The sequence below is a fragment of the Homo sapiens genome, chromosome 2 (assembly GCF_000001405.40).
Source record: "Homo sapiens chromosome 2, GRCh38.p14 Primary Assembly".
Lineage (NCBI taxonomy): Eukaryota > Metazoa > Chordata > Mammalia > Primates > Hominidae > Homo > Homo sapiens.
Genome location: NC_000002.12, coordinates 233048867 through 233065016, shown reverse-complemented (window position 1 = coordinate 233065016; position 16150 = coordinate 233048867). Strand labels below are relative to the sequence as shown.

The following is a 16150-nucleotide window of genomic DNA, read 5'->3' as shown; positions in this document are numbered from 1 at the left end:
TTGGCCGGCTTTCTGGTGTGAGCCAGATGTCAGTAGCTCTGGCTACGACCTGGGCCAGCATTTTTTCCCACTGACTGTCAATATCAGATATGAAAAATAGTGCCTTATTGCATTTGCACAAAAACAATTAACAGTGTCTATTTTACTGAAGCTTCGAAAGGGAGACTTAGCCACCCGCTCACACCACAGCTTTCCAACTCTGTTGGACTCTCTGAGATTAGGAGTTTCGCCCTCCCAAGTCCCTTCTCTGCGGCTCCATCACGAGAAGTTCCCTCTCCAGGCTCTGCCCCGCCCCACACAGGCCACCTTATGGTCTCTGTTTCTCGCTTCCAGGAAGATCATGCATGCAATCCTGGCCCTTTTATTTGTTAGTCCTGTAAACTAGGCCTGTTCCATAAACCGCTCTGCACCTCGGTTTCCCCATCTGTAAAGTGGAGATAATAAGACCTCCTTTGAAGGTCTTCGTGGACATCAAATGAGTCAATATAAGCCTAGAATGGTGCCTGGCACAGAGCTCTTTGGAAGTTGCCTGCTGTTATTAGGCGGAGCAGGTTGGTAACAACCTTCTGCTGGTGAAGCCAGGTCTGTCCGGTGCACTGTCTACACTGCCCCTGGGAAGGGGTAAGCAAGACCCTGCCATGGTGCCTGGGTGGCCTGTGGAAGGCCACATGTGGAGGGAAACCAAAACCACACTGTCAGCTGTGGCCAGACCAGGCACTGGGTTCTGAGCCAAAGGCAGCCACGTGCCTTCGCCTCCCCCATGAGGGAAGCCCCCTCTCTCTGGAGTGGTTGGCTGGGAACGCCGCCCTCCTGCGCAACTCCAGGCTGGATGGCAGACAGCTGAGCCGGCCACTCTAGGCCTGATCCCGGGCCCCAGCTGCTCCTGCAGAGAGGGCAGCCTATATACTGACATTGGGCCTTTGATCAGCTTTGCCTGTGCAGATTGCACAAGGGGATGCCGGCTCGGCCAACCCATGGACCCTTGCATTGACTGACCCCATTCCCAAGGCATCTCTTCTTTGCAGCATAAGGCCCTGCCAGGTGTGCTGGCCCCTGCGTGGCAGGAGAGGGCATGAGCCTGACAGCTCTTAATGTCTCCCACCCACGATGTACCCAACGTCCCCTGGAGGCACCCACAGACTCCCCCCGGAGCAGGGCCAACTCTGCCGGGGGATTTGAGTGGGGACCAGGTGGGGACAACATAGGCTCTACTTAGAAGAGCCCCTGGCTGAAAGACGGCAGAGTTGGACCCAAACCAGGCAGCCACCTGCTGGAGTCTTCCCACTGCAACTGTCTGTGCCCCGAGATGGAGCCCAGGCTCCCTGTCAAGCAGGGCTTTCCAAGCTGCTGAGGTGAGATCAAAGCTTTCCTGCCCAGTGGTAGGTGACGGGGCTGACCTCTCTCGAGGAAATGCAGGGTTTGCTGGGTGTGCGCAGAATGTGCACTCCTAAGTCACATGGGTGGCACTGAACTGTAGCCCTGTCTTTTGATGTCCAACCCCCGCTCAAGTCCATTTACATAGTCAAATCCTGTTCTCTTTCCTGAGCACAAAGGCCCCTCCCTGGTGAGGCTGCTCTCAGTTCCTGAGACTCCAGGCACACTTGCCCAAACCATCAGGTGGAGACTCCGGCCGTTGTCCCCTTGCCCACCAGAGGGGGCCTGGGAGGGAGTGCTGCTGGGGCCCAGGCAGGATGAGGTCAGGGCACCTGGGTGATCTGAGGGGCCATGGGGCAGGTATACTTTTCCCATGGACTTTGCTAGGGCAGGAGGGTGAGTGTGTGGCTTCCTTCTGCAGTCACTTCTAGAGCAGGGTGGCTCCAGGCTTCCAGGGCTAGGGGGGCAAAGCCTGCTACTTCTGCAGCCGCAGAAAACCCGGCTGCCCTGCACACCCCTCAGCCTGGGACTGTCTGCCTCTGCCGTCTCCGTCAGGCCACGGCGACTCTGCAGGGAACACAGAAAACTAAGGGTGGTAGGGTTTGTTTTTCAAGAAGTTCAATCTCTTTGCTTTAAATGACTGGCTTTTTTTTTTTTAATGCCCTTCCTGCCTCTTTTGGTGTCAAAGGCTGCTTTCTTTCAAGAAATGAGGTGTTGGAAGATGACAGTTTGTTATCATTCATTTAATTAGTTTTTAGTTTTAAAATCTCCGTAATTGGCAAAATCCAGGGTGGCAGCCATATGAAGCCTGCAGATGTATGGAAAGTCTGCAGGTCCATAGCAACCCACGGCCTACAGTGGAGCCTGACCCTGCAGGAAGGGAAGCTTCCCACCCTGAGCAGAGGAGAAAGGGAAACACTGAGCCCAGGGTTTGTCTGGCCAAGGGGTGGGACTCCTGGTGTTTGCAGCCCAGCAGCCTCAGGATAGGAGGCTGACGAGGCTTCGGCTGAGAGGATAGTGGACATCTGTAGGCACCACAGGTCCCTCTCTAAGGAGCAGACACTGCACACCCATCATGACTCTGAGAGAACTCAGTGCAGACAAGGGTTCAGAGAGAAGAGGTAGAGGAAGGAATACGAGAACTGGCCTGGATCCCAGCAGTTTTGACCCCAGCCAGCATGGTGGACAAAGGCCTCAGGCTCTCTGCCCTCTGTCTACCTCCTGAAAAGCCAGGGCTGTTGCACCAGAGCTTCTCCAAGGCCTCTCCAGCTCTGACTCTGGCTCAGGCTAATCCTAGACGTTAAGATGCTCACGGCTCGGAGTCAGAGAGACCCACGCCCCATGTCTGTAACCTGAGCAACCACAAAGCAAGCCCTGGTCAAAGGGCTGTGTTGAAGGTTAATGAGATGGGGCCCTGGAAGCCCTCGGCTCAGCCAACACCAAACAGCCAGGACAAGATCCCACTGGGCCAGGAGAGAAATCCAAGTAACCCACATGGGCCAGGTGGAGTCAGACTGGGCTTGTGAGAGGCCTAAGAGAATCTTCCTGCTCCTTCTAAGGCCCCGGCAGCAGCAGGTCCCCACTGGGGAAGTCCAGGCAGCCTGGGCCTGCGTTCCTTCCCCTGAGGCATGAGAGAGGGGACACAGGAAACCAGTCTTTGGAGGTGGGGCTGCAGACTGTCAGCACAGGCCAGCGACCAGCTGCGAGCCTGGCTTGGTTTCCAGTGCCCCAGCTGACCCTGTAAACACTGTGGCTCCCCTTGCTTCTTTCTCCAGCCCTGCAAGGCTACATGCCTGCCCCGCTGGACTGGGAGCAGGAGAGGTTGGGCCACAGGCTGCTGGTCTCAGCTGCAGCCTCTGGGGGCAGATGGCCGTGGCTTTGACTGTTGTCACTCACTTAACCTGCCAGGGCCTCAGATTTCTCATCTGCAAAGTGGGGCTTTTAACAGGACCTTCACTTTAGGTTGTGGTGAGGATGAAATGGGCTAACAAATGCTTAGCACGACAGGTCCCAGCTGTGAGTCAGTATTCAAAACAGGTCTGGGTTCATCACCCAATTCCCCTCCTGCCTGGAGAAGCACAAGGCCCTGGCTGCTCGGGGGAACATTTCTGCCAGCCCAGGGATGCTACTTGAGATGTTCAGGTGGACACACATTTCCCTGACTACACTCCGGCACTGCCTGAGGCCCCGGCAAAATGATTAGACCAAGAGCTGCAGGGCAAGGCCCCCCTATGATTAGACCGAGAGCTGCAGGGCAAGGGCCTCCTTCAGACGCTGGACAGGAAGGGGGTTTTAGAAAGGAACCTTCAGCAAGTGGCTGGTTCCTCCATTGTTAGCACAGCTGGTACATTCAGTAACATCCCCAACCGGGCAGTGGGAGGAGTTGATGGTGACAGAGACCCAAATTGAGGGGGTGGGGGGTGGGCAGCGGTCACAGCCAAGTGCTCAGGAGAGAGAAGAGGCTGCTCGCTGGTGGTAATGGTGACTTCCTCTGCTCTCAGGCCCCTGAAAGCAGCTTCTGACTGAATGGAAAGTCCTTTCTTGATTAAACTCACCCCATATTCTTGGCTCGCCAAACAACAGCTTCCTCCAGGGGCCCGAAGCCTGGGTGCTCCAGGAAGGGTCCCCCTTGCCACCTTTGCTCTTCTCAGGGTTTCTGAGCTGGGCATCTTTGAGCTGATCTCTAACACACCCACCTCCACAGAGCCCTGAGCTTCCTCCTGGCTCCAAAAGCCCAAACTCCCTTCTCTCGGTCCCCAGACTCCAAGGAAGCCACAAGGTCCATACAGCTCATGGGAAGCTGGGGTGTAACATCAGGCCTCAGAGTGGTTCTGACAGCTCCAAGGCTGCAAAACCTGCCATGAGACCAGCTCTCTGAACTCCAAGGACAAGGTCCATGACAGGGTGGCGGGGAAGTGTGCATGTCAGATCACTCTGTCCTGTGACATAAGAACAACCCATCTCAAAGCTGGGCCCCCTCTAAGCCCCTCTGTCATATCTGTGCCCGGGGAGGGAGCAGGTTGTACTCACAGCACGCAGAGCGCGTATGCCCGGGAGATGGACTCGCTGGCACGCACGAGGAAGCTCCCGTCCTTGCCTGTCCTGGAAAGCAGCTCCTCCGCCTTGGAGCGGGTGATGTTGCCATGGTTCCAGCAGGGGACCATGGTGGGCGTGGGCCTCCTCGGCCGGGCCGGCAGGCACCCCCAGGACCCACACACCACCGAGGGGAGCGGAGGCCCCTCCACTGCAACCTGCCGCCCGTTGCCTCTTGGTGGCCTCGGCTGCTGCCACCAGCTTAACTGACTGACTTCCTGTTTCAGGCGCTCAGTGAGGGAAAGGAAACTGAGCTGCGGAGAACTTCCTCATTACAGAAACCAAGCAAGAGAGAGAGAGAGAAAGAGAGAGAGGGGGGGGCCCTGGCCGTCCACCGTCCCCTACACCCTGCCACGGCTGCCGCGGCTCTCTTGCCAGCCCTCTCCTTCCTGGCAACTGGTCGCAGCGTACAATTGAAGTGTCCAGTGGCAGCTGAAGTCCCCCTGGGTGGAATGACCGGCTCTGGAGACGTCAGGAGAGTTGTGGCCACTTCTGAAGAAGCATGGCCTAGCAGGCATGGGTGGGCCAGAGAAGTGGTTCTTCTGCGGCCGTGCTGACACCCACGTGGGATGCCATGCCCTAGACAGGCCCCCGAGCCTTCTGCTCTCCCTCAGGGCTTTTCAGCACCCACCCTGAACCTCCAAAACACCCAAGGGGGCACAGCTTCTCAACTGGGACTACGGCCTGCCCAGGACAGAGCAAACTTGAGGGGGAGGGGACAGTCGAGCCCCACCCCTCCCCTTTAGAGACTCCCAGCGGCCTGGGTGCTGGGAGACCTTGGCTGCCACCAGCCGAGGGCGCCAAGGTCCAAGTGATGGCTCTGTGACCCCATTACCCTCATTCCCAGGGGCGGGTGGGTGCTGCACGGGCAGCACAGCTCTGATCCCTGCAGTCCAGCTTGGAGACACACAAAGGGAGCTTGGAGGGGATGTGGGCCGTTTACAGCGGGAACATAGGCTGGGTTTTTCCCTGGGCTTCTCCAGGATGCTGGGGAAACAAGCTCGGAGAGGAGAACCCCAAAGCCCCACAGGGCAGGCTGGCCGCCTGGCCAAGGACAACACTGGGTGCTGAGTCCTGCGTCTCAGCAGTCGGGGTGGCCGGTCGGACTGCACCGCCTCCAAGACTGGGCATGGCCACATATGCCCACCACTCAAAGAGGAGCTGCCTCTCCAGGGACCGCCATCCAGGACCAGTCATTTCTGAGGGCTCTGCGGTGGACACCCATCCCTCAGCCCCCAGACCTGGGCACCTTCCGTCCTTGGGTCCGGCCCACCAAGGCCGAAGGGGCACGTGTTGACCCGCTGCACAAAGAGTGCCCCCACCATCCCACATCCAGGCCTTGGCCTCCAGGACATGACAACAGACTCCCTCCAGGAAGGGGCACCAGCCAGGCAGCGCCACCACATTCAAGCTGTGGGAACCTGGTCAAGTTTCTTCTCTCTCTCGGCCTTGGTTTCTTCTTGTCTAACTTGAAGGACGTAGCTCGTAAAAGAGCTCACATGTGCCCAGGGGCTCAACATGTGTCACACTGATGGTTGTCCCAGAACAGGGCCCCCAGCACCTCCCCGCTGAGCAACACACATGGCAGGCGAGTCTGTAGGGCAGACAAAGCACTCCCAGTCAAGGACCTCTGGCCAGGCTGGGAGCCAGGCGTGGGGATAGAGTGGTGATGGGAACTGGCCTCCATGCTCCGGCCCTTCCGCAGCACGCCACCTCTGCAGCAGCCCAGTGTGGAGGCCTCTCATTCCCCACCCACGCCTCCACTCAGCACCTGTCCACCCCCTCCTTATGGGGTCATCTCCTATGCTCCCATTGTGTACCTTCACACCCTTCTCACTTCCCTGCTGGCCTCCACCAACATCCATGAAGTCCTGGACCACGCCACCAGGAGGATCCATTTGCAATACTGGTCCCTTTACACCTCCACCCACTCATCTCTAGAGACCCCTACCATGCCAAGACTGCCCTACTTAGAGAGCTTCCCCCAAACCCCCAGCCCCCCACCTCTCACACCTCTATTCCCACGGTCCTTGCCATTCCACAGAGTGAGATCCCCTGGCACACACGCCACACGGGCACTCTTCCCTCATTTTTAAGGCCCATCCCAACTTTGCTTCCTTTTCCACCCAATTGCCTGATCTATCCAGCATGGTCAGCTGGCTTGTCCCCCACCCTTCTGCCCTCCACATTCAGGAAATCCCAGTATCTAGATCAGAGCTGCCCTTTTGGTGGGTGGATTTTTTTTTTTTGTAGGTCTCCAGTCAATATAAATAATTTTAACGTATTACAAAATTCACAAACTCATGTGAGGGATAGTGATTTATCAATGAAGACTTCAAATAATGGCTAGAGAGTGGCCAGGCACAGTGGCTAACACCTGTAATCCCAGCACTTTGGGAGGCTGAGGGGAGTGGATCACCTGAGGTCAGGAGTTTGAGACCAGCCTGGCCAACATGGTGAAACCCTGTCTCTACTAAAAAAAAAAAAAAAAAAAATCAGGTGGGTGTGGTACGTGCCTATAATCGCAGCTACAGCTACTTTGGAGGCTGAGCAGGATAATCACTTGAACCCAGGAGGCGAAGATTGCAGTGAGTCGAGATCGTGCCACTGCACTCCAGCCTGGGTGATAGAGCGACACAGTAAAAAAAAAAAAAAATTACTGTTCCAAATTTTATAGCATAAAGGTAGAACCACACATCTTCCAGCCATATTCTCTTGAATGTGTTAGGCCATAATCACTGCATTCCTACCTTGAGATCCCATTTGATGATGATTGCACCCTGGCCCTCCACATACAAGAGCAGTCTCACTCTCCAGGGATGTCTGCCTGCATCTGGCTTGGCAGGATCAATGTGGAGAGCTCAGCATCACCACATGGATGGGAGGTGGGAGATGATGCTGATGGGAAGAGCCCGTGGGTGTATCGGTGCTGTGGAGCAATGTCCTCGAAAGACGTTGGAGGAGGCAGCTGCCTGATAGTGGACAGGAGCCTCCAGAAGGGATAAGGGACTGCCAGCTGCTGCTGGCAGGGGTGATGAGGGCCTAGACCACCTGCCACTATCCTTGCTGTCCTCAATGCTCGGGGCCACTCAAAGGAGAAACCTGCTCCCCAGGCTGTGCCCAGGAGTCACACCCAGCCATAGGGCCCCAGAGCGATTGCATAGTGTGAGTCTATGCATTCCTTGGAGCATCTGGTCAACCTCACCCATGGGGCAGAGGCTTGGAAAGCAGCTGAGGGGAAGAAGTGGGGTCAGACTCACTCATGTGATCCTGGGTCCAGACTGGGGCACCTGCCCAAAGGCACTGCCAGCCCTGGCAAGCCCCAGGCCCCATCAGGGGACTTGAACAATTTCTGGGAAAGCTGGGCAGTGAGAAGCATCAGGGTGGTCTGGCAGGCACCTGGTCATGGGCACTCAGCCAACTCTAGAAGCTCCGGGAAGAACAGACAGGCCTCAGTGTTGAAGAGGAGGGCTGACATGGCAGGGCCAAGGCATTGGAGCAATTCTGCTTTGGCAACCTTAAGTGAGGGCGGGTCACAGGAAGGTTTGAGTCTCAGGACAGGGTCAGGGCAGGCTGGGAGAGAGGGACAATGGAGACACCAAGCTTCTTGTCCAGGGGTCCTTCCACCGTGGACAAGAAACAGAAAGAATTTCAGGGTCTGAGAAGGGACTGAGCCAGGAGAGGGGAGGCAGAGGTCAATATATACTGTATATATATATGTGTGTGTGTGTGTGTATATATATATATATATATACACACATACACACACACATTACATCATATATATAGTGTGTATATATATACACACACATTATATATATATAATATATATTTACTATACAATGTTAACAGATATACAATATATCTAAGCATTTGTCTCTGTACTTCCCTTCCCCTCCTGTGTTCATCGAAGCCCTTTACTATGCCCCAGGGCTCCCACTCCCCCCAGCCTGGGTGGATAGATAGATATCACTCATGGCTTGGGGTGCAGGGGCTGAAAGTGTTCACTCACTGAGTGCTAAAAGCAAAGGGAGCAGTGATGGTTAATTTTATGTCAACTTGGCTGGGCCTCAGGACCCAGATATTTGGTCAACATTATTCTGGATGTCTCTCTGAAAGTATTTTTTAGATGACATGAACATTTAAATCAGTAGACTTTGAGTAAAGCAATTCCTGTGTGTAGGCCTCATCCAATAAGCTGAAGGTCTTAATAGAAAAAGACTGACTTCCTCCAAAGAGTAAATTTGCCAGTAGATTGCCTATGGACTCGAGCCGCAGCATCAACTCTTCCCGGGGTCTCCAGCCTGCCAGCCCACTCTACAGACTTTGCACTTGCCAGCCTTGACCATCCTATGAGCCAATTCCATATCTATCTATCTATCTATCTATCTATCTATCTATCTATCTATCTATCTATCCATACATCTGTGTATCTCTCTAGCCATCCACCTATCTATCCACCTATCTAGCCATCTATCTATCTATCCATCTATTTATCTATCTAGCCATCTATCTAGCCATCCATCTATCTATCCATCTAGCCACTATCTATCTAGTCATCTATGTATCTAGCCATCCATCTATCTATCCAGCCATTTATCTAGCTATCTAGCTAACCATCCATCCATCTATCTATCTAGCCATCTACCTATCCATCTATCTAGTCACTATCTATCTAGCCATCTATCTATCTATCTGGCCATCCATCTGTCTAGCCATCTGTCTAACTATTACCTATCTATCTATTGATCTATAAATCTATCGATCTGCCTATCTATTTAGTCATCTATCTATCTAGTCATCTATTTATCCATATATCTATCTAGCCATCTGTCTATGTATCTAGCCATCTGTCTGTCTATCTATCTAGCCATCTATCTATTTAGCCATCTATCTATCTATCTATCTATCCATCCATCTATGTAGCTATCCATCCATCTATCTAGCCATCTATCTATCCATCCATGTAGCCATCCATCTATCTATTTAGCCATCTATCTATCTATCTAGCCATCTATCTCCCTATCTATCTAGCCATCTATCTCCCTATCTATCTAATCTATCTACTTATCTATCTGCTTCTCTGAAGAACCCTGATTAATAGAAGGGCAAATACTTGACCGTGAAGTTAGAAAGTTGCTCACTGGCTGGCGTAATCAATAGTGAACTTCCCTCATCTTCAGACCTGATAATAAGACATCCTTTGCTGGAGAAGGGAGCAGCCACTCACAGGGAGCCTCCTGGGATCAAGCACCACTGTTCCCCTCCCAAGGAGCCCAGGGCAGGTGGGTCAGCCCCCAGGCTCCTGCTTCCTGCCACTGAGGAAGACCAGCCGGGAAAACCAGTCAAAAGCAGGAGCCAGCACCTTATTCACAGTTTGTTAAGAAGGATGGATGCTCTCCTGTGTCCTGAGAATCTACCCTGCCCACATCGGCCCCTCTCAAATCAAAGGCCAAGGTCGCTTACTGAGATGGTGGAAGAGGAAGTCAAGTCCCAGCCCCTGACTAGGATGAAGGGAGACCGTCCCACTGGAGACGTCTGGCAGAGCTGGAGCACTCCCAAACTAGCAGATTATGATCCCTTATTGTCTGCCAGAAAAGAATTTCTTCCCTCCCAGCTCTCTCTCTCCCCACCCAGCCTTCTCTCTCTCTCTCTCTCTCTCTCTCTCTCTCTCTCTCTCTCTCTCTCTCTTCTCTCTCTCTCTCTGTCCATCCCTCTCTCTCCACAGTTGTTTTTGGAGCTCTGTCAAGATACCAGGCTCCACCAGCCTGCCTTTCCTTTTCCAGTTCCATTTCTGCTACCGGCATCTTGACGTTTCCAGATCCACCCAGGCCCCTGCAGGCACAAATTTCATTCAGATTTGCAGAGCTAGTGGCCACAGTCCTCTGAATTCCTGACAGATTTTGCCAGAGACCATCCATCTATGTGGCCCCACGGCTTCCTGGGGCTTGGTGCATCCCCAACAATGGGAAGGCAACATCTCAAATCATGGCACCCTCCACCCCTTCCCTGTTCTGCTCCTCTGATAAGCTCCATTTTAGTGCTGCAAATCAGACTCTGAATTAGACACACAGGAACAAGGCTGGGATCCAAATCTCAGCTTTACCATGACTATGTAGCATCTCTGGATTGGTTTGCATCTCTGTAAAGGGATAGTGACACCCTGTTGAAGAATGTCTGTGAAATTATGTAATGTGTCTGGCACCAGGTAGGTCCTCACGATGAGGCGGGTCTCCCAGGCGGCCCCCTGACCAGCTCCTGAAGGGCAGAGCTTCGGTGGGCTCCTGGGGGCTCCAGCGGGCAGCTGGCATCAGTGACCTTCGCCACCGGTTTAACCCAATTCTAGAAGAGAACTCTTTACCTGCGACTACAAAGAACCTGAACGGGTCCGGGTCTGCGCCTTGTGACTCCCGGCCACCAGGTGGCGCTGCACTCTGGCCTCCCCCTGGGACCAGAGCCGGGAACATCGCTGACAGGCACAGGGGCGATCCCCAAGGAGTCCAAGGGCCCATGGAGTCCATAATTGTGCTAAAGGACATCTGTGAATACCGAAGGCCTGGCAGCGAGCATCTCCTGTTTCACTGAAGATGCCGGAAAATCAAATGAGCTTGAAAGAAAACAAGGAGAATTAGGATTGACTTTGGGAAGAATTGGGTAAGAGGAAACCATGTCCAAAAAGCCAACATATGTCTCTTGTCAAGATTCTTAAGGACAGAGGGAAATATTCGTAATACAACGTTTAGTGAAAAAACAAATCAAGGCCGGGTGCAGTGTCTCACACCTGTAATCCCAGGACTTTGGGAGGCCAAGGTGAACAGATCTCCAGAAGTCAGGAGTTCAAGAACAGCCTGGCCAACCTAGCAAAACCCTACTAAAAATCCAAAAATTAGCCAGGTATGGTGACAGGCACCCGAAGTCCCAGCTACTTGGGAGGCTGAGGAAGGAGACTCGCTTGAATCCAGGTGGCGGAGGTTGCAGCGAGCTGAGATCGCACCACTGCACTCCAGCCTGTGCGACAGAGTGAGACTCCATCTCAAAACAAACAAACAAATCAAGAAACCAAATGGGAATACATTACGATTCCAACTATGGAAAAAGCTCTATCCTGGAAAGACACTGGAGGTGAACAGGGTTGAGTTAGGCGGCATATCCACGAGCAATTTTTTTTCTTCCATCTACTTTTCCAGCTTTCCTTTACTGCCCACATAAAAAAATTAAATAAAAAGAGAACTCCAGATCAAGGTAGTGTGTGTAAAATCCTGCTGGAAGCATTTTGTTTTGTGTGGATGGCTGGTTGTATCCTGGGAGACTCTTCCCCCATCATTCCTCTCAGGATTCCTAAGAAAGAGACCAACTTTTCTCTCCTTAACCTTTTTTTTTTTTTACATTGAAAAGTAACATGTGCACATAGTAACATGTTATTTAACATGCTCAAAAGGGTTTACAATAAAAAGTAAGTTTTCCTGCCAGCCCAGACCCCAGATCCATTTCTCCAGGGCCAGTGTCTTGTGCAGTCTTTCAGTGTTTTCTATGCATATACAACCCGATTTTTGCAGGGCCCCCTTTTTTAAATACTCTATTATGTGTCTTTCATTTTTCACTTCAGATTTCTGGACATTTCGTGGAGCTAGTTTATATCTACCACATTCTTTTAAACATACCTACTATTCTATATCATAACATGGTGCATTTTACCAGTTTCCTCTCCCTGGACACATAGATTCCAGGGTTTTTTTGGTTTTGTTTTTGTTTTTGAGATGGGGTCTGGCTCAGCTGCCCAGGCTGGAGTGCAGTGGTGAGATCTTGGCTCACTGTAACCTCCGCCTCCCAGGCTCAAGCGATTCTCGTACCTCAGCCTCCTGAGTAGCTGGGACTACAGGCATGTGCCACCATGCCCAGCTATTTTTTGTATTTTTAGTAGAGATGGGGTTTCATCATGTTGGCCAGGCTGGTCTCAAACTCCTGACCTCAAGGGATCCGCCCACCTCAGCCTCCCAAAGATTCCAGTTTTTAGTTAGTCTATCTGCAAGAAAAATCCCTAGAAGAGGAATGAGCGTTCAACGGTTGTGTGCATTTTTAGTTTTGATTAGTTATGCCGTATTGTCTTCCAAAGTGGTTGCACCAATTTACATACCTACTGTTGGTGATAACTGGGGTTTAATATTTTCTAAAACTCAGAGGGGCAATTCTGGAGTGTCCTACTTTAAGAAAGTGACATGGATGAAAATCCTACTTATGAAACAGGTTTTTAAAAAACAAGCCCTGGGGACTTTTATTTCAAAGGAATTCTTGACTTTCATTACAATATTGATTTAAGAATGAGCTCTCTCCTTGCGTTTGAACTTTTAGGAAAATGTATAAATACATTCCCTTTCTAGAAAGCTGTCTAGATCTGTTTCTTGCACTGAACATGAAGGGGCCAAGCCCATGGCCTCTTGGTAGCTTTGTTGCAGTTAAGCCTACACCTGGATGTGAAGCAAGGCAGGCCTGCGATCCCCACCCCCACCACTGCGATTGCCCCACCCCACCCCTATGGAGTGTCCTTGTTGCCACAGCAACCACCCCTTTCCTGGCTCTCCGCCCCCAGAGTCAGATTTTACAAATTCTAGGAACAGCAACTCTCAGCAACACTCCCCTGAGCCAGACCCTGAGCCCAGCCATCGCCAGCGTCCGCCGGTCTACCACGGCCACCACGCCCCAGGCCCCGGAGCCTCCTCCAACCTCCGTTCTGGCCTCGAGCACTTCCCAGGCATGAATCATGACCGCCTCCCTTGGCAGGCCCACTACCATGCTTCCTAAATGCAGTTCCTGCCAACAGCCACTCTTTCCGTGGCAATTACGTGGCAGCTTCTTCCCAGCTCCACGTTCTGTTCCTCTTCCTCTCTGCTTCTTCAGCCAGTAGTTCTCTGAACTAATGTGCCAAAACAAACAAACAAACAAACAAAAACACCCCACCTGGTTGGTCCCAGCTTCATTTCCATCAGAATCTGCTTCCCAGCATGGTCTTCCTCCTGCCCCCTCCTCCTACTTGGCCGGACTGGGTCTCAGGAAGCCCCAGGTTTTCTTGACTGCATCCTCGCCAGCTCCTAAAACTATGGGGAAACATCTCTGAAATGGCTCCCCACTCTTGCCCTTCCAGCAACTATCCCTGCCACCACCCCTACCCGGAAGCATCACCTCTTCCCTGGACCATTCCAGCCTTGCAGGCTACCCGAAGCAGGTGTCTTTCTCTGATGCTCCGCCACTCCGTGGCATATCAGCACTCCTTTATCTCCCCCACTCTGCCCCGCCCCCGCCCTAGCCTGCACAACCTGCCTGCTCTTCTCTTAGAGCCTTTTCCTATCACGACTTGCACTATTTTGTGTGCACCTCTCTTCTCCTCTCATTAGATTCTCACCTCTGGGAAAATGCAGATCTGTCTTGTTCATTGCACGCTGCAGCAGCATCCGGCTCATGCTGCCAGGCAGTACGCACCTGTCTTTGTCAGCTTAGGCTGCCATAACTAAGTACCATAGACTGGATGGCTTCAGCAACAGGCATTTATCTTTCATAAGTCTGGAGGCTGGAAGCCCAAGATCAAAGTGCCAGCATGGTCATGCTCTGAGGAGGGCTCTCGTCCTGACTTGCAGGTGGCCGCCTTCTCACCTTGTCCTCCTGTGGCCTTCCCTCCTCTCCTCCTTTTTTTCTATGGCCACCAACCCTGTCAGGTTAGGACTCCATCCTTGTGACCTCATTTAACTTTAATTACCTCCTAAAAGCCCAATCTCCAAATACAGTTACACTGGGGGTCAGGGTTTCAGTATATGAATTTCAGGGGGCGGGACATAACTCCCCTAAAGTACCCAGTACCAGTCCATAGCAGTACCCAATAAACATGTGTTGAATTAATAAAAATGGCCAATATCTATCTACCAGCTAACCACGTGGAAGCACTGCTATGCTCTCTACACGAGTTGCCTCGCTCAATCCTCATGGACAACCCACAAAGGGAAATCCTATTATTATGTCTATTTTACTGGCAGGGAAATTGAGACCAGAGAGGTTAAATAATTTGCCTGCAAGTTAGTGGCAGACCTGAGAATCTAGCTTACATCTGCTTGATCCCAAAACCTCTGTATACGCTACACACCTTAAGTTAAATGAGCTGGAACTTCTGCGCTGGGCTCTGCAATGCATAGGGCCTAGAGCCTCCGGCCTGCTCACCTATACTCTCCCCTGCATCCTCTCCTGTCTGGAAGCCTCCTGGCCTCCCACTGTTACTTTTACACAGACCATTATTGGAATTAGCACAGATAAAGAAATTACTGGGTCTAAGCCCAAGGGGCTGGTCCCCAGCACACAGAAGTGTCAGATGACCATTTTCAGGGTCCTTGGAGATGCGTGTGGCATGGACATTTAGAGGAAATTCCCTCTGGAACAGAAGCATGGGTCTCATCCTACCTTCTAGGTTTTTACTGTGAACTCAAAGATGGCTTGATGAAGCTGGGTGCAGTGGCTCATGCCTGTAATCCCAACACTTTGGGAGGCTGAGGCGGGCGATCACTTGAGGTCAGGAGTTTCAGACCAGCTTGGCCAACATGGAGAAACCCCGTCTCTACTAAAAATACAAAAATTAGCCGGGCATTGTAGCAGTTGCCTGCAATCCCAGCTACTCAGGAGGCTGAGGCAGAAGGATTGCTTGAACCCAAGACGCAGAAGTTGCAGTAAGCTAAGCTCATGCCACTGCACTCTAGCTTGTGCGACACGGCAAGACTCCATCTCAACAAAACAAAACAAAACAAAACAGAACAAAAAGATGGCTTGAAGCACACTTGCTGGAGGTGTGGGAGAGGGAACCAGGGCCGGGGTGGTGGTTAAACCTGTCAAACTGCACATCCCACCCCACCCAGAGGTGATTGGTCTCATTGCAATTGTGACCTAGTTAATCTCCCAAATCTTCAGTTCCAGATCTTCAGTTTGCAATCCAGACTGCAAAGAACTGTGCAGGTTCACCCTAAAGCCTCCCGTTCATCCCGTGACTCCCCTGCTGAGTGATTCCAACAGCTGCTTACTGCCTGTAGGACAAAGTGTGAAATCCTTGACAGTACTTACAAGACTGGAATCTGACCATTTCCTGACTTTTTCTTATTTCCATTCCACCCCTGAGAACTTGGCAGGAGTCCTTACTCCATACCTGGATCCAGCACCTCCTGCCAACTCTACCCATTGTAGCTGCAGCCCAGGGAGTGCCAGCAACTCAAACCTTAGCCTCCCAATCACACTCCAGCCCTCGGGCTGTGATTGCTTCCCCTTTCATCTCTGGCCAGCCCCAAGCCCTGCCCTGACCACCTCCTGTTCCCTCCTCTCCATCACACACATCTGCACAACCTTTGTCCTCCCCATGCCCCTCAACTCCCTCACAGCTCCTTCTTCTCCCGCCACACCCAGCCAAAGGGGCTGCTGGTGTGGCCAGAGAAATGCCTCTGCCAGGCAGCGCAGCCCAGGACAAAACCCGGCTTCCCACTAGCATGGAGACCAGAGCCTTCCAGCCTCTCCCCTGCCTTCTCCGTTGGCTGCGGCACCAAAGCCTGCATTTTTCCAGTGGACCCCGCTTCCCTACCTCACCTCCCCACGCTCCTCAGGCTAGCTCACTTCCAGAAGCCACCAAACATTAAAGCCCCTCACTATTCTGCCCACAGATGCT

At 52.4% G+C, this 16150-nt stretch overlaps 1 protein-coding gene across 4 annotated transcripts in view, besides 9 other annotated features; it reads right to left on the bottom strand.

Moving 5' to 3' along the window:
• Window positions 1–4675, bottom strand: part of INPP5D (inositol polyphosphate-5-phosphatase D) — a 147562-nt gene extending 142887 nt beyond the window's left edge. For all 4 annotated transcript variants that reach the window (NM_001017915.3, XM_047444219.1, NM_005541.5 and 1 more), the window contains exon 1: window positions 4405–4675. In NM_001017915.3, coding sequence (NP_001017915.1) covers window positions 4405–4538 — 134 coding nt within the window. In that variant the 5' untranslated portion in view covers window positions 4539–4675. The remainder of the gene's footprint in view (window positions 1–4404) is intronic.
• Window positions 1635–1744: an enhancer, noted in NCBI's record as "active region_17330". NCBI's record gives its function as "activates an Ori minimal core promoter by ATAC-STARR-seq in GM12878 lymphoblastoid cells {active_cell/tissue: GM12878}" and the evidence as "EXISTENCE:reporter gene assay evidence [ECO:0000049][PMID:35858748]".
• Window positions 1757–2350: an enhancer, noted in NCBI's record as "H3K27ac-H3K4me1 hESC enhancer chr2:233927377-233927970 (GRCh37/hg19 assembly coordinates)". NCBI's record gives its function as "activates a minimal SCP1, AML or CMV promoter by ChIP-STARR-seq in naive H9 embryonic stem cells {active_cell/tissue: H9 hESC(naive)}" and the evidence as "EXISTENCE:reporter gene assay evidence [ECO:0000049][PMID:30033119]".
• Window positions 1757–2370: a biological region, named in NCBI's record as "H3K27ac-H3K4me1 hESC enhancer GRCh37_chr2:233927377-233927970".
• Window positions 2321–2370: a silencer, noted in NCBI's record as "silent region_12467". NCBI's record gives its function as "represses an Ori minimal core promoter by ATAC-STARR-seq in GM12878 lymphoblastoid cells {active_cell/tissue: GM12878}" and the evidence as "EXISTENCE:reporter gene assay evidence [ECO:0000049][PMID:35858748]".
• Window positions 2351–2944: an enhancer, noted in NCBI's record as "H3K27ac-H3K4me1 hESC enhancer chr2:233926783-233927376 (GRCh37/hg19 assembly coordinates)". NCBI's record gives its function as "activates a minimal SCP1, AML or CMV promoter by ChIP-STARR-seq in naive H9 embryonic stem cells {active_cell/tissue: H9 hESC(naive)}" and the evidence as "EXISTENCE:reporter gene assay evidence [ECO:0000049][PMID:30033119]".
• Window positions 4031–4120: an enhancer, noted in NCBI's record as "active region_17329". NCBI's record gives its function as "activates an Ori minimal core promoter by ATAC-STARR-seq in GM12878 lymphoblastoid cells {active_cell/tissue: GM12878}" and the evidence as "EXISTENCE:reporter gene assay evidence [ECO:0000049][PMID:35858748]".
• Window positions 4441–4520: a silencer, noted in NCBI's record as "silent region_12466". NCBI's record gives its function as "represses an Ori minimal core promoter by ATAC-STARR-seq in GM12878 lymphoblastoid cells {active_cell/tissue: GM12878}" and the evidence as "EXISTENCE:reporter gene assay evidence [ECO:0000049][PMID:35858748]".
• Window positions 4721–5000: an enhancer, noted in NCBI's record as "active region_17328". NCBI's record gives its function as "activates an Ori minimal core promoter by ATAC-STARR-seq in GM12878 lymphoblastoid cells {active_cell/tissue: GM12878}" and the evidence as "EXISTENCE:reporter gene assay evidence [ECO:0000049][PMID:35858748]".
• Window positions 10810–10969: a silencer, noted in NCBI's record as "silent region_12465". NCBI's record gives its function as "represses an Ori minimal core promoter by ATAC-STARR-seq in GM12878 lymphoblastoid cells {active_cell/tissue: GM12878}" and the evidence as "EXISTENCE:reporter gene assay evidence [ECO:0000049][PMID:35858748]".